The sequence below is a fragment of the Homo sapiens genome, chromosome 14, assembly GCF_000001405.40.
Source record: "Homo sapiens chromosome 14, GRCh38.p14 Primary Assembly".
Classification (NCBI taxonomy): Eukaryota; Metazoa; Chordata; class Mammalia; order Primates; family Hominidae; genus Homo; species Homo sapiens.
In genome coordinates this window covers 63,432,239-63,446,938 of record NC_000014.9, presented here as the reverse complement: position 1 = coordinate 63,446,938, position 14,700 = coordinate 63,432,239, and the positions used below count along the sequence as shown (strand labels likewise).

At 40.7% G+C, this 14,700-nt stretch overlaps 1 protein-coding gene across 9 annotated transcripts in view, besides 1 other annotated feature; it reads left to right on the top strand.

Annotated features, from left to right (window-relative positions):
* PPP2R5E (protein phosphatase 2 regulatory subunit B'epsilon) overlaps positions 1-14,700 on the top strand; it is a 172,014-nt gene that overhangs the window by 96,439 nt on the left and 60,875 nt on the right. The gene's annotated exons all lie outside the window — the stretch shown is intronic.
* Positions 8,634-8,928: a silencer, noted in NCBI's record as "tiled region #14795; HepG2 Repressive non-DNase unmatched - State 10:DNaseD". NCBI's record gives its function as "represses a minimal TATA promoter and a strong SV40 promoter by Sharpr-MPRA in HepG2 cells {active_cell/tissue: HepG2}" and the evidence as "EXISTENCE:reporter gene assay evidence [ECO:0000049][PMID:27701403]".

Below are 14,700 nucleotides of genomic sequence, written 5' to 3'. Positions count from 1 at the left end.
CCCCAAAGTATTACTACTCATTGACTATCCACCTTGTTACCCAAGAGCTCTAATGGAGATATACAAGGAGATGAATGTTGTTTTCTTTTTCTTTTTTTTTTTTTTTTTTTGAGATGGAGTCTCACTCTGTCCCCCAGGCTGGAGTGCAGTGGCTTTATCTCAGCTCACTGCAAGCTCTGCCTCCTGGGTTCACGCCATTCTTCTGCCTCAGCCTCCCGAGTAGCTGAGACTACAGGCGCCTGCCACTGCGCCCAGATAATTTTTTGTATTTTTAGTAGAGACGGGGTTTCACCATGTTAGCCAGGATGATCTTGATCTCCTGATCTCGTGGTCCACCCGCCTCGGCCTCCCAAAGTGCTGGAATTACAGGCGTGAGCCACCGTGCCCGGCCGAATGTTGTTTTCATGCCTGCTGACATACCATCCAATCTTCAGCTCATGGGTCAAGGAGTAATTTTGATTTTCAAGTCTTATTATTTAAGAAATTCATTTCTTAAGGCTGTAGCTGCCATAGATAGTAATTCCTCTGATGGATCTGGGCAAAACAAATCGAAAACCTTCTGAAAAGGATTCACCATTCTAGATGCCATTTAGAACATTTGTGATTCACAGGAGGAAGTCGAAATATCAGCATTAACAGGAGTTTGGAAGGGGTTGATTCCAACCCTCATGGATGACCTTGAGAGCTTCGACTTCAATAGAGAGAGTAGCTGCAGTGCAGATGTGATGGGAATAGCAAGATAACTAGAATGAGAAGTAGAGCCTGAAGATTTGACTGAATTGCTGCAATCTCATGATCAAACTTCAACAAATGAGGAGTTGCTTCTTATGGATGAGCAAAGAAAGTGGTTTCTTGAGAGGGAATCAACTCCTGAAAATGTTGTGAACATTGTTGAAATGACAACAAAGGATTTAGAACATTATGTAAACTTAGTTGATCAAGCAGTGGCAGGGTTTGGGAGGATTGACTCCAATTTGAAAAGAAGTTCCATTGTGGATAAAATGCTATCAGACAGCATCACATGCTACAGAGAAATTTTTCATGAAAGGAAGAGTCAATCGAAGCCACAAACTTCATTGTCATTTTTTTTTTTTTTTGAGACGGAGTCTCACTCTATTGCCCAGGCTGGAGTGCAATGGCACAATCTCCGCTCACTGCAACCTCCGCCTCCTGGGTTCAAGTGATTCTTCTGCCTCAGCCTCCCGAGTAGCTGGGATTACAGGCGCTCACCACCACGCTTAGCTAATTTTTGTATTTTAGTAGAGATGGGGTTTCACCATGTTGGCCAGGCTGGTCTTGAACTCCTGACCCTGTGATCTGCCCGCCTCAGCTTCCCAAAGTGCTGGGATTACAGGCGTGAGACCACCACACCTGGCCTCATTGTCATCTTATTTTAAGAACGTGCCACAACCACCTCAGCCTTCAGCTACCACCGCTATGATGAGTTAGCAGCCATCAACATGAAGGCAAGACCCTCCACCAGCAAAAAAGATTACAACTCGCTAAAGGCTCAGATGATTGTTAGCATTTTTTAGCAATAAAGTATTTTTAAGGTATATCCATTTTTGTTTTTTTAGACATAAAGCTATTGTGCACTTTATAGACTACGGTGTATTGTAAACACAACTTTTACATGCACCAGGAAACCAAAAATGTGTGTGACTACTTTATTGAGATATTTGCTTTATTGTGATGGCCTGGAACTGATCCTATAATGTATGTGAGGTGTGCCTGTAAAGCAAAATAGCCCATAAAGAGTCCCAGACAGAGAACATGGAAGCCACTGTCTTCATTTCTCATCTTCCACTTAACTAGTGGTAAGAACTTGGGTAAGTAGTTTTCTCTCTAAGCCTCAGTTTCTTCTGTTATAAATAGAGGGAGTTGATGATGAATCCCTTACATCTTTCCATTTCTGAAAACTAACACCTCTTTTGATCAACACAGTCTAAGAAATTTTGAATGGATTATGCCTTTCTTAAAGTTTACAGGCCATTGTGCAAAGTAGTTCCTTCAGAAAGTGGTTTGTGTCATGTATTTCTCTTGGGGTCTCCTGGAGTCATAGCTGATGAAAAAATGAGAATCAGGACTTCCAGCTCCTTTAGGCTTTGCTCCATTCTGCTTCACATCATCTCAAGTGTCAGGTGTCTGTCCCTGAGGCATATTTTTTTTAACCACATTATGCTAATGCCTTTTTGGTTTTGTTGTTATGTATCCATTTGAAAGATTTCTTGGAATTTCTGGCTTTCCAAATCACCTTGTGTAAATTTTTATTTACCTGAGCTTGAACTCTGTGTATTTTATATTGTTTATATTTGCACATCTTTTTTTTTTCTCGAAAATGTTTTTTTTGGGGATACTTCAAATATGAGATGAAATCTCATGGGTGAAGACATTGTTTTAGTTAATTCTTAATGTTTATTTAAATGACTCAGTGTTACACTTTTACATTTTGCTAATAAAAAAGACAGGGCTTCACTTTGCCAGTGAGCTCACAATCTGGTAGAGGGAATACTCACGTGAACAGTAACAAGATAATGTCATATATATAGTAGTAAAGTCTGTACAAGGCAAGGAAGGAGTAAAGGGACGTGAAGGTAGATAGAAGGGTGGTTAAGGAAGGCTTGACAGAATGATTATAGCCTCAGTAGGGTATTAAAAGATGAATGTGGCTGAACTTAAAGAGAATTATGTGATGCAAAGGAATTCCCAAACCACATGTTATATACAGGGAAACACAGTCATGCTACGTTGTTACAGTGTTATGTGTATATGTGTGTTGGAGAGTGGGAGGAGGTGAATGGTGGCAGCTGAAGATGTGGATGTGGGCCAGTCTGAAAGAACCTGACAGACAATGGATGGATAAGTGTTGAAAGGTTCTGTGTGGCGGAGTGACATGGTCAGATTTGTATTTCAGTGACAGTGGGACAGAGAGATTGGAGGAGGCTGAGATTGAAGGCAGAGAGGAATCAATTAGGAGACTGTTTTATTGGAGAAATTGTGGAGGGCCTAAGCGAACTGCAGGCATGGAAGTAGAGAAGGAGAGGAAAGGAACATTTGAGATTCACCTAGGAGGTAAAATTGATGCTGCTTGTTAGCATTTATGTGAACTTTTGGAGTGTGAGAGAGGAAGGAGTCTCGGATAGCTTTGGCAGTTGGGTAGTTTGTGGTGTGGTGCTGCTGTTGGGGAGTAGGGAGAGCAGGCTTTGGATGGAAGCTGAGGAGTTGGTTTTCGATGAGTTAATGTTGAGGTTCTTATGGGAGACCTAGATGTGGAAAGTAGGAGGTGGAAATTGGTAGTTATCAGAATGGGAGTAGGGCAGGGGAGGAAAAGAACAATGATGGAACTCTAGATGATACCAGTGAATCATTGTTTCAGTGCAGTGGTACAGGTGGGAGCTAGTGGGTTGAAGAGTAGATTAAAAAATCAAGAGGTTGAGATGACGGCTGTAGATAATTGCTCGCACCTTGGGTGTACTGTCTTCATTAGAGTAAAATCCTGTCACTTCTCTCCTACAAAAAGTGTTCAACCTTGTCACACTGATCATTTGCTGTTATTATTTTTATTTTGTCTCTAGGACTTGGCTTTTCTTGGTTTCAAAGTCTGCTTCAATTCTCAATCTCTGCTTATACCTCAAATGGTAGAATATGTAATTTTCCAAAGTTAATTTAGTTTTAAGATAAAATATATTCACTGGTTTTTCCTTCCTTGCTGTTGAGGTCTTTCTTTGAGTTCGTTACGTTGTTTCTTGGCCACTATTAGCTTTGTTTTTTCCTACTCTCAAATTATAACCTGTCACTTGGTTATCTAAGTGCTTTATTTTTTTTTATACATTCTTTGATTTAACTGGAAACCAGAGCTCTGGTTAGCCTCTTAATACAATAATATGACATTGTAGAAAATTATGAAGTTGCAATTAAATCTCTCAGAGTCTGCCGACATGTACTCTTAGTAGTGCTTGGTTAACCTCGCTACATTATTAGCTGAAGGGCAGAGAGTTTCTTTTAATAAAAGAACAACTATCTAAAAGTAGCTTTGGAATGATAACTGCCGGGGGGAAATATGAAATTTCCATTTTTCATCTTCCTGCATCTGATAAAGAATATAACCATGATAGTCCCCCCTTAACCATGGGGATATGTTACAAGACCCCAGGGATGCCTGAAACTGTGGATAGTACTGAATCCCATACGTATATCCTATGTTTTCCCCTATACATATATACCTATGATAAAGTTTAATTTATAAATTAGTCACAGTAAGAGATTAACAATAACAGTAAAATAGAATAGCTATAACAATATACTGTAGTAAAAGTTACGTAAATGTGGTCTCCCTCTTCCTTCTCTCTCTGTGTCTCTCTCTCTGTCTCTCTCTCAAAATGTCTTATTGTACTTATTCCATGGGTGACTGAAACCATGGGAAGTCAAACCACAGATAGGACGGGGACTACTGTATACATCCTGGCCAGAATTTGCCTTGGAGGTGACTCTTTAGATCCAAAGGAGATAAGATTTGTAGATATGCATTAATAGCAAAAGAGCCATTGGGGGTGGGTGGGTGAGGGTGGACTGTTTATAATATTAGAATTATACATAATGGAAGAGAAATGAGTGATATCTGAGAAGCACACTTAATAACTGAAGCTGGTGGGAAATTTGAAGGATAGGATAAGCGTAAAAGAAGACCTGAGAATTAGATTAGAAATTAAAGAATTCCTTGGTACAAAGGAAAAAATTTAAGGATATGATAATGAGATCTCCCAAAGACATTTGTAGAATGAAATCAGGAGGAACTTACTGCTCAAGGTTAGGAACAGTTTGTTAGCATTCGTAATTTTTCAAAGGGTAGGGAAACTGGTCTGTACTTCCTCAATTCCCACAATTTAACTGTGCTAATCCAGTTAAAGCTCATTTAACAGTATTGATTTAGCAGCTTGGGGTGCCCATAGATGGATTTCTTGGGGTCACTGAACCCTCTTAGGTTAACTGCAAAATTTTGTGTATTCTGTGTATTTTTTTTTTTTTTTTTTAGACGGAGTCTTGCTCTGTGGCCCAGGCTGGAGTGCAGTGGCGCGATCTTGGCTCACGGCAAGCTCCACCTCCCAGGTTCATGGCGTTCTCCTGCCTCAGCCTCCCGAGTAGCTGGGACTACAGGTGCCCGCCACCACACCCGAGTAATTTTTTGTGTTTTAGTAGAGACGGTGTTTCACCATGTTAGCCAGGATGGTCTCAATCTCCTGACCTCATGATCTGCCCGCCTCGGCCTCCCAAAGTGCTGGGATTACAGGCGTGAACCACCGCGCCCTGCTGTGTTCTATGTATTTTTATAGGAGAAAATAACTTGCTTTTGCTTAAATTTTCAAAGGTACATGTGACTCAAAAATGGTTTAAGCGCGATTTTACCCTGTGTGCACTAAATATCTATGCTGGATGCTGCTCACTTGGAGAGTACAAGATTGGAAAGGAACGGGGTCCCCCCATTTCTGGCAGTAACTAAAGATGAAAAATGAAGTTGTTAGAATGATTTCACCAGTGAAACCATTTGGGCTAGAGTTTCTCTGTGGGAAGGCTTTTGGTAGTGAACTCAGTATCTTAAATACATGTCTGACTGTTCAGATTTTTTGTTTTATATGGTGTGAATTTAGGTAGGTTGTTGTAAAGTTACACGATTTAGACTTGTGGCCATATACTTAATCCTTAGAGTCTCTTCACAAAGGTGTGTACTAATGAAAGAAGATGGCCAGCACCCGTATGCCTTCTATTGTTACCTGCATAAAAATCTGCAGGAACAATATATGAGTTAATTCAATCTTCACATTGAATGAGAACCACCTGTGACATAGGTAGTATCTAATAGATACCATTTTGTAGATAAGGTAAAGGAAGAGAGAGGTTAAGAAACTTGTCCAAAGCCACTCACCTGGGTGATTGAGATTTGAACCTTGGTGATCTGGTTCCAGAACCCATACTCTTTTTTTTTTTTTTTTTTTGAGATGGAGTCTCGCTCTGTTGCCCAGGCTGGAGTGCAGTGGCGCGATCTCGGCTCACTGCAAGCTCCGCCTCCCGGGCTCACGCCATTCTCCTGCCTCAGCCTCCCGAGTAGCTGGGACTACAGGTGCCTGCCACCACGCCCAGCTAATTTTTTTTTTTTTTTTGTATTTTTTAGTAGAGACGGAGTTTCACTGTGTTAGCCAGGATGGTCTCGATTCCCTGAGCTCATGATGCGCCTGCCTCGGCCTCCCAAAGTGCTGGGATTACGGGCGTGAGCCACTGCACCCGGCCCAGAACCCATGCTCTTAGATGCTAAGCCATAATGCTTTCCTGGAATTATTCTTTCCAATAGGAATGAGGTCTAAAACCCCTAAAAGTTGGAGTCTTGCCTCTGTGCTATGTTTGTTTCTTGAGCTCTTCTAAAAAAGTAAAAAAGCCTTTGATTTAAGCCCTTCCCTGTATTTTGCTGCTTCTGACAAGGCCAGACCACATAGTATGCTCTGGGGTTAAATGTTCATTTTTTTTTTTTTTGCTTAAGAACAGTTTCTTCTTCACTCCCTCTCTCCTACCACTTCTGCTGCCCTATATAGTAGCTTTACACTCCCTTTGTGTTATTCTTGAATTGTTAACGCTGCTTCTCAATTTTTCTCTCTACCCTACCACTTATTCCCAGTCTGGAAAAGTAAATAGTGATTGAGGAGGTGAGGAGGAGCCCAGGAGGAAGGCCGTGTATTTCAGAACACCCCTCTCTCTCTTCCACCCAGATAGCAGTCCCCTGAGTTCATGTGCTTTCCCACTCCACTTCTCTCTCTGCCCCACCCTTAGAAGTTCCAAAAATCAGGCTCCTCTGCCCGTTGGTGCTCCTTATGTGGTAACATTGGCGTGGCGATACCTTACCTGTGCATCATAGAGGGGCCCCACCTTGCAGCCCTGTTTGTGTTGAATTGGTAGGACCCACAGAAAACGTATATGGAAATTGAAAGTGCCAGTGTATGAATTCAGAGTGAGAAGGGCACTGCTCAGTGGATAGCTGTTTGTGTGTATTTGAACTGTGCCTTCTCTCCCTGCAGGCAAGCTATGCGAGCTGCCAAGGAATCCTTAGGTTGGTTGGTTAGCCTGAATTCAGAGCAAGGGGAGTTAATTAGATGATTCAAACATCCCTCCATCTCCATGATGGACATCCTAATCCTTGGAAGCACTTATGTGTGTACAGCCTGCTTTTCCTTTTTACTGTCCTTCCTGGGTCAGTGGCATAGACAAACAGACCAGAACCCGGCTGGGCGCGGTGGCTCACGCCTGTAATCCCAGCACTTTGGGAGGCCGAGGAGGGTGGATCACCTGAGGTCCGGAGTTCGAGACCAGCCTGACCAACACGGAGAAACCCCGTCTCTACTAAAAATACAAAATTAGCCAGGCCTGGTGGCGCATGCCTGTAATCCCAGCTACTGTGGAGGCTGAGGCAGGAGAATGGCTTGAACCTGGGAGGTGGAGGTTGTTGTGAGCCGAGATCGTGCCATTGCACTCTAGCCTGGGCAACAAGAGCAAAACTCCGTCTCAAAAAACAGAAACAAAAACAAAAACAAAAAAAAAAAACAGACCAGGACCCAGTCTGGCCACTTACTGAACTATGTGATCCCAGGTGAGTCTCATCCCTCTAAGCTTGTTATTATACTATAACTCTATAAGGTTGTTTTGAAAATTAATTTATGAACAGTGCTTAGCACTGTGGTAAGCATTGTTAAAGTCACCATATCATTATTATCATTATTCATGGTACCATCTCTAGCACCCCAGTAGACTTAACCTGTCTATATTGGTTAATACATTTTTCTGGTTACAATGAAGTCTTGCTAACCTGAAAGCTTTTTTTTGTCTTTTTCAGATGACTTTCCATATCTTTTGTCTGACTATTGATTTCAAACTCTCTATGAAGTTTTATTTTCATACCTTTTTTTTTTGGGAGAACTGCCTGTGAAACTGCATATGCCCCTGTGTTTATAGTTATATATACATTTATATATATACTGCCCTAAGTTCATCTAAATGAATTCCTGATATACTTGCATATTCACGTCCCCAACTCTAGTAATAATTTAGCATTTCTCTCCGCAATCATTCTCTCTTAAGGAATCTGACAAGGATTTTAAAGTGTTTAGTTTTAATTTAAATGTGCTAAAGAGAGGGTTTTTACTCAGGAAGCCACTGAGCTACTCGAGATTGCTATTTGCTTCATTTACAAGCTGTAGTCCTTCTGGCTTAACTGCTTTAAAGGTTGTTCAGAGTTTTTAATATACTTAAAATTGTTTGACAGCTGTGACTTGTCTAGCACTGATATATCCAATAATATCTCACTGTAATGAGTATACTCCCCCTGTCTCTACCCCTCCCCCCAGTGGCTGGCAGCAGAATTTTGCAGGATAAGTTACAGTACTGCATTCAAGTTTTGGTTTCTCTTTTCTCCCACCTTTTAATTTAACCTTGAAGCTGAAAATGTGGTTTAAAGGTATAAGCAATGCTTCTGGGAAATCTATTAAGCACATGGATGACAAAGTGTGAAATCTTGCTTGTGGCATGTGCAAGTGGGTCTTGGATAATCCCAGCTCTTGGTGTTAGTTTGTATGATTTGGCTGTCTCTCTACTGAGGAGACACAGAAATGAAAGAGAGGGATTTATTGGCTGATTGTTTGGAGGAAGCTGGTTACACCACAGTGGTGCATGATGAGCAGGAAAAAGCTGAGAAAATGAGTGTCCTCAATGTGGAATTCACAGAGACAGGAGTGCCTGAGGCAAGAATCTGGCAAGCAGACAATGAGCAGGTCATTTCCAGGAGGCAGTTGGCTGCTGACCAGTATTTAAAGCCAAACTTGATCTGTAGGAAAACAAGAAGAAATATGCTATTCAGTGACTTCTCAGGAGCAAGTTGCCTCTGAAAAATGGTGCAAAGACACTAGACTATAGAGTAGAAATGCCATTTCTGTGATGAGTAGAGAGAGGTGAGGGTTGGCCAAGTAGTGGAGAGGGACAGCTGGTGGGGTCATGGTGAGGAGGGTCAGGAGTGGCACACACAAGGAAAGACATTTCTCAGTAAAAATCAGGCTGGTTATAATTATTTGCTAAGTTGGAGAGCAAGTGTATTTTTTTGACAAAATGGACAAGGAAGTTCTATTGGAAAATATGATGTTTCTATACTTTTCAGAAAGGTAGGGAGTGGGGTCTTGGGAGGATAATGTTAGGTGCTAAATGGGCTACTTTGAAATACTGTGGAATTGGCCTTCCTGCAGAAGGTAAGGGCTTTATGAGAATAGGATAGACCACTCTCTGGAATAAGGCAGGCCACTTCATTTTCAGAGATTTCTGGCTTTTTTCTCTTAGACAGATTAAAAAAAAATTGTAGACAATAGAGAAACTGTTGGAAAATTAAGTTTTGTATTTGTGCTGCCCTTAATAACAAAGTGCAAAATGTGTTATATCCTATTCTGTAAAGTGAGAGTAGTTGTGTTACCGGAAAGGGGTCCTGACCCAGACCCCAAGAGAGGGTTCTTGGATCTCATGTAAGAAAGAATTTGGGGTGAGTCCATAGAGTAAAGTGAAAGCAAGTTTATTAAGAAAGCAAAGGAATAAAAGAAGGGCTAGTCCATAGGCATAAAAATAGTCATCCATTTTTATGGTTACTTCTTGATTATATTCTAAATAAGGGGTGGATTATTCATGAGTTTTCTGGGAAAGAGATAGGTAGTTCCCGAACTGAGGGTTCCTCTCCCTTTTAGACCATATAGGGTAACTTCTTGACATTGCCATGGCATTTGTAAACTGCCATGGCGTTGGTATGTGGTACCATGTAGTACCATGGTGTAGCGGTGAGGACGACCAGAGGTCACTCTCCTTGCCATCTTGGTTTTGGTGGGTTTTGGTTGCCTTCTTTATGCATCCTGTTTTATCAGTAAGGTCTTTATGACCTGTATCTTGTGCTGACTTCCTATTTCATCCTGTGACTAAAAATACCTTAACTTACTGGGAATGCAGCCCAGCAGGTCTCAGCCTTATTTTACCCAGCCCCTGTTCAAGATGGAGTTGCTCAGGTTCAAATGCCTCTGACAGTTGTTTCAGCAATAAAATAATCAGAAGGCAGTGGTGTTTAAAGCACATTTAAAATGTAAGCTTACAGGGTTGGTGGTCAGTTCCTGCCCCTAGATCCTTCTCTTGGTTTCCTTCAGAGGAACTAAGATGAAGCCAGCTATGTGTCACTGTCAACGGGGAGGGCTGGCTGTCCTGTCTTCCCCTGGAGTGGCATATCACACTTAATTCATTATGAAGCAGTAGTTTTGGGATAAGGAGGAATGTTAGTTTATGGACAGAACCTATGGTTATATGTGCTAAATATGGTTATATGGTTATGGTTATATGTAGGTCAGGTGTGTTTTAATTACTCACCAACTAGCTCAGGGCTTTGTTTTGCTAATGAAAGGTCACAGACACACACAGAGACGTGCACATAGACACAGAGTATAAGAGACAGTGACAGTTAGTTTTGGCTGTGTTTCTTGTTTATTTTTTGTGATTTCAATTAATAACACATACCTAGTAGTCAGAAACACACATCAGGAGCCTCAAATGTTTTGTGTATGCTTTTTTAAAAATTCGCAATTCAAGAGGCTTAATTTTTGTTTGAGCATTAGCTGATTTGGAACCATGAAGTCCTCATAGCAGATGTTTAGAATTTGTGTTCTCAAAAAAGCCTTATGTTGGTATTGTTTTATCAACTTGTGCACTGTGGCTTTTACAGAAAACACTCAATTCAGTTTTAGTAACCTTCTAGGACTTAGGACCCACAGTCCCCAGATGGTGAAATGCAGCAAAGCCTTGGTATCACATGGTTAGCCTGTGTGGGGCGGGAGTGCTTGAGGCCAACCCAGGCGGTACGAGGGCCTGCACTGATTTATACACAGTAAGCACTATGACTATTGCAATGTTTACACGTCTATTTTTGGATTCTAAGATTTAATATCAACAATGTTCACTTTTGGACTCACTGCTACATTTCCAATTTTGGAGCGAGTACAATACAGTCATCTCTGTGTGAAATATCATTTCCCTGTGATGGTTTTGTGTGAGGATAACAGACTCTAGAGATAATTATTTTAACATTGCTGTCACCATTTCAGCAGGTAAAAAGTTGCCTCCTATTTTGAGCAAAGTTTGATCTTGAAATAGGAGCCGAATGGAAGCGGAGGGTTCATGGTCAGAATTTGTGGGCAGTAAGGTGGAGAGAGGCAGGGATGAGTTTAGATTAGAGAGGGTGTGGCAAATTAAGCAGAGGAGGTTAGACTTAATCTTGTAGATGGCGAGCAGGGAGTTGTAAGGATTTTTGAACAGGAGGTGAAATGAAACTATATTCTTACTTTTCTTTCTCCAGACCCTATGAAGAAAGTCTGTGCTCCTTTAAGGAAGATTAGGCTGGCAGATATAACCCAGGATGGCCTGTGGCAGAGGGCTGTTGTCTTAGGTTTGTCAGATGATTGCAGAGGAAGAGGAAATTAAGAATATGTAAAGAACTCACCATCTTCCGTTTTTTTTCTCCACCCTTATCAAAAAAAAGAATCACCCATAGTTTCGGTATTTAAATTCAATCATTACCCACATTTTGGCCAGTCTGCTCCTAGTCTGCTTTTTTTTTAATATGACTTTTTTCCCTTTAAAAAATTTAGATATACTTAACTTGTAATAAAATTTGAAGAACAGATCTTAGGCAATGAACGTTCAATGAATTTAGCAATTATATATACTTGTATAGTCATCACCCCAAATGAGATCTGGAACATTGTCATCTCCCCAGAAAATTCCCCTTTTGCTCTTTCCTGTTTTTCCTTGTTAAACCTTTTTTTCTAATCTTACTATATATACATTATCATTATGATGTAAACATACTCTCCTGTAATTAAATAATCTTTTAAAAGCATAATTCTGATGGTTCCTAACACTCCATTATGTGGATGTACCATTGTTTACTTAACTGATTTTCCAATTTGGGATATTTAAACAGTTTCCAAATTTCCACTATTAAAAGTAATACCATCATGAGCACCAAAGAGACATTTTGAAGTAATAAATAAAATGACTTGTTGACAAATTGTATATAGCAGATAAAGGAGAAGAGTTAACAAAAACTCCAAAGGGTTAAAAAAATAGTGAACTTCTTGAAAGAATGGGGAGGTGGGAGGAGAATTCTCTTTGAGAGATAAATGGAGTCCAATGAGAGTGAAATTGGTTTTGACCAGCCTGAATTTGAGATGATAGTGAGATGTCAAAACTGCTCTATATGTAACTGGAAGTAAAGAAATTAAGGATATCCATGTGCCCTGGACACAGAGGTCGTAGTGGAAAAGGTGATAGGGGACTGAGTATTGAGAGGAGAGCAGCATACTAAGGGCTGGGACTTGTTCTACCTCTAGTGCTGACCTTTATTTTTCTTTTTGGGGAGGTTGTGTACTTCTTCACTGGATGAAATCATGACTTGGAGGCGTTCATTTGAATTTTGCATTCAGTATTCCCAGATCCTGAACATGCTTTATTTTTCTATTTTATTTTATACTAAGACCCACTAATGTAGTTGGTGCTAATTCTGAGAAAGAAACTCTTGTGAAGATCTCTCAGTTTATTTTGGCTAAGATTAGAGTATCTGCCATTTTTTGTTTGTTTGTTTGTTTTTTTGCTGTTATACTGGACTCTTCCCCACTAAAAAGAGACTGATTTTTTTTGCATAAGCAAATTAAATTACTTGAATTAGCAGAAGTTACTGGAGAATGGAAGAAATAACTTAATAGGAAATAATCACTAACTTTTGAGTAAATAGGGTATATTGAACCCATGCATATGTTTACTTTTATTCCCTAAAATCTCCCCACAATTACTGAAATGAAAAAGTTATTACTGAAAGGAAATAAAACCCACAAGAACAAAGCAAAATAGAGAGATCTCAAAATTAACATTTTGGAAGCTAGAAAGCAAATGAACAGTGGTTACTACCTTGGTCCATCAGAGAAAGCTGAACCCAAAGCAGCAGCAAGGAAAGTCAAGACAGGGCAAGTCACATGCACAACTCCGAGGAACTTCAGAAAGATAACCTCTCAAAGGAAGGGTGCATGGGGGCGAAACAGGAGATTCGCTGGAAAGTCTGTATAAGAAGTAGCCAGAATTCCTTTTCTCCCATTCTCCCAAAACCAGGTAGCTATGTAACTGCTCTCTCAAATCCCAGCAGAACACTGAAGCTTTACTCTCTGGAGAGGCTAAACTAGAGGGAATCTGGACTTGGGGACATTACGCACAGCTGAGAGCAGCGCGCACCTTTCTGAAAGTAGGACACTATGTTGAATTGAGACTAAACCCACTCAGTTCCCAGATACCTTATGCACTCTAGCCAGGAGATTAGATGATTCTTCTCTGCAGAATCAGGCAAGCCCAAGAGAAAAGACCTAAAGACAAAACTTAAAAGGGAGTTCTGGAGGGAGGGGCATGAACAGGTGGTAAGGAATTAGCCCAGCCAGTCTCACTATAGGCAAGCCCACTAGTCAACTGGTGCCATGTTGTACCCACAGAGCCCCTATTTTAAATATGACTGTAGACAGTGGCTCACTCCTGTAGTCCCAATGCTATGGGAGGCCGAGGCAGGTGGATTGCCTGTGCTCAGGAGTTTGAGATCAGCCTGAGCAACATGGTGAAATCCCATCTCTACTAAAAATATAAAAATTAGCAGGGTGTGGTGGCACATGCCTGTAGTCCCAGCTACTTGCGGGGCTGAGGTGGGAGGATCACTTGTGTCCAGGAGGTTGAGGCTGTGGTGAGCTGTAATCGCACCACTGCACTCCAGCCTGGGTGACACAGTGAGACCCTGTCTCAAAAAAAAAAAAAAAAAAAAAAACAAAACAAAACAAAAAACAAAACTGTATGTGGCGCTGTGGTTAAGACTTTTTAGGTTTGAGTCCTCTCTCCTGACATTAATACTTAATGAAAACTTAGTTTGACTTAGTTTGGTCTAATTTAGAACTTTATATGAAAGGAATTAAACAGCTTATATATGTTTGGGGGGTTTGGTTATGACTGCTTATCCTTTTTACTGTTTGATGAACGTTTAGGTTGTTTCTAGTTTGCAGCTATTATAAATTCTGCTTCTATTAACTTGATTATACTAGTTTGGCATTAGTGATCACTGCATAGAGGGGGCCAGCTCAAATGTCTTTCTTTTTCCCTTGAATCTTTCTTTCTTTCTTCCCTCCCCTTCCCCCAGTCTCTTCTCTTTTCCTGTCTTTGTGGCACCTCTGTCTTCTGATGAACATGCCACAGGTCAAGGAGAGTGGAAACAAAAGACAAAATCCTTTCTTTCACTCAGTTTTTCCCTGTTGTCCCCTTCTAACGAAGTGTTGACATAGTCTTCCAAACCATGCCTATATTTACATTTGATCTGTATTCAAATTCTATTGTTTCTCTATTCTTGATATCTCATGGACAGATTCCTTTCTTTCATACAGTTGGCAGTGCTCCGATCTTCTAGAGACTCCGTGTCTAAGGGGACCAAATTATTTGTAGAAGCAATCACCGTATGTTAAATCTAGTTATACCAATTCATCATAACAATTATCAGCTAAATACTCCGACTGCTTCTAACAGCAGTAAGCAGCAATAACAATGAAAACAGTGTTTGTTTTTTGGTCTGTG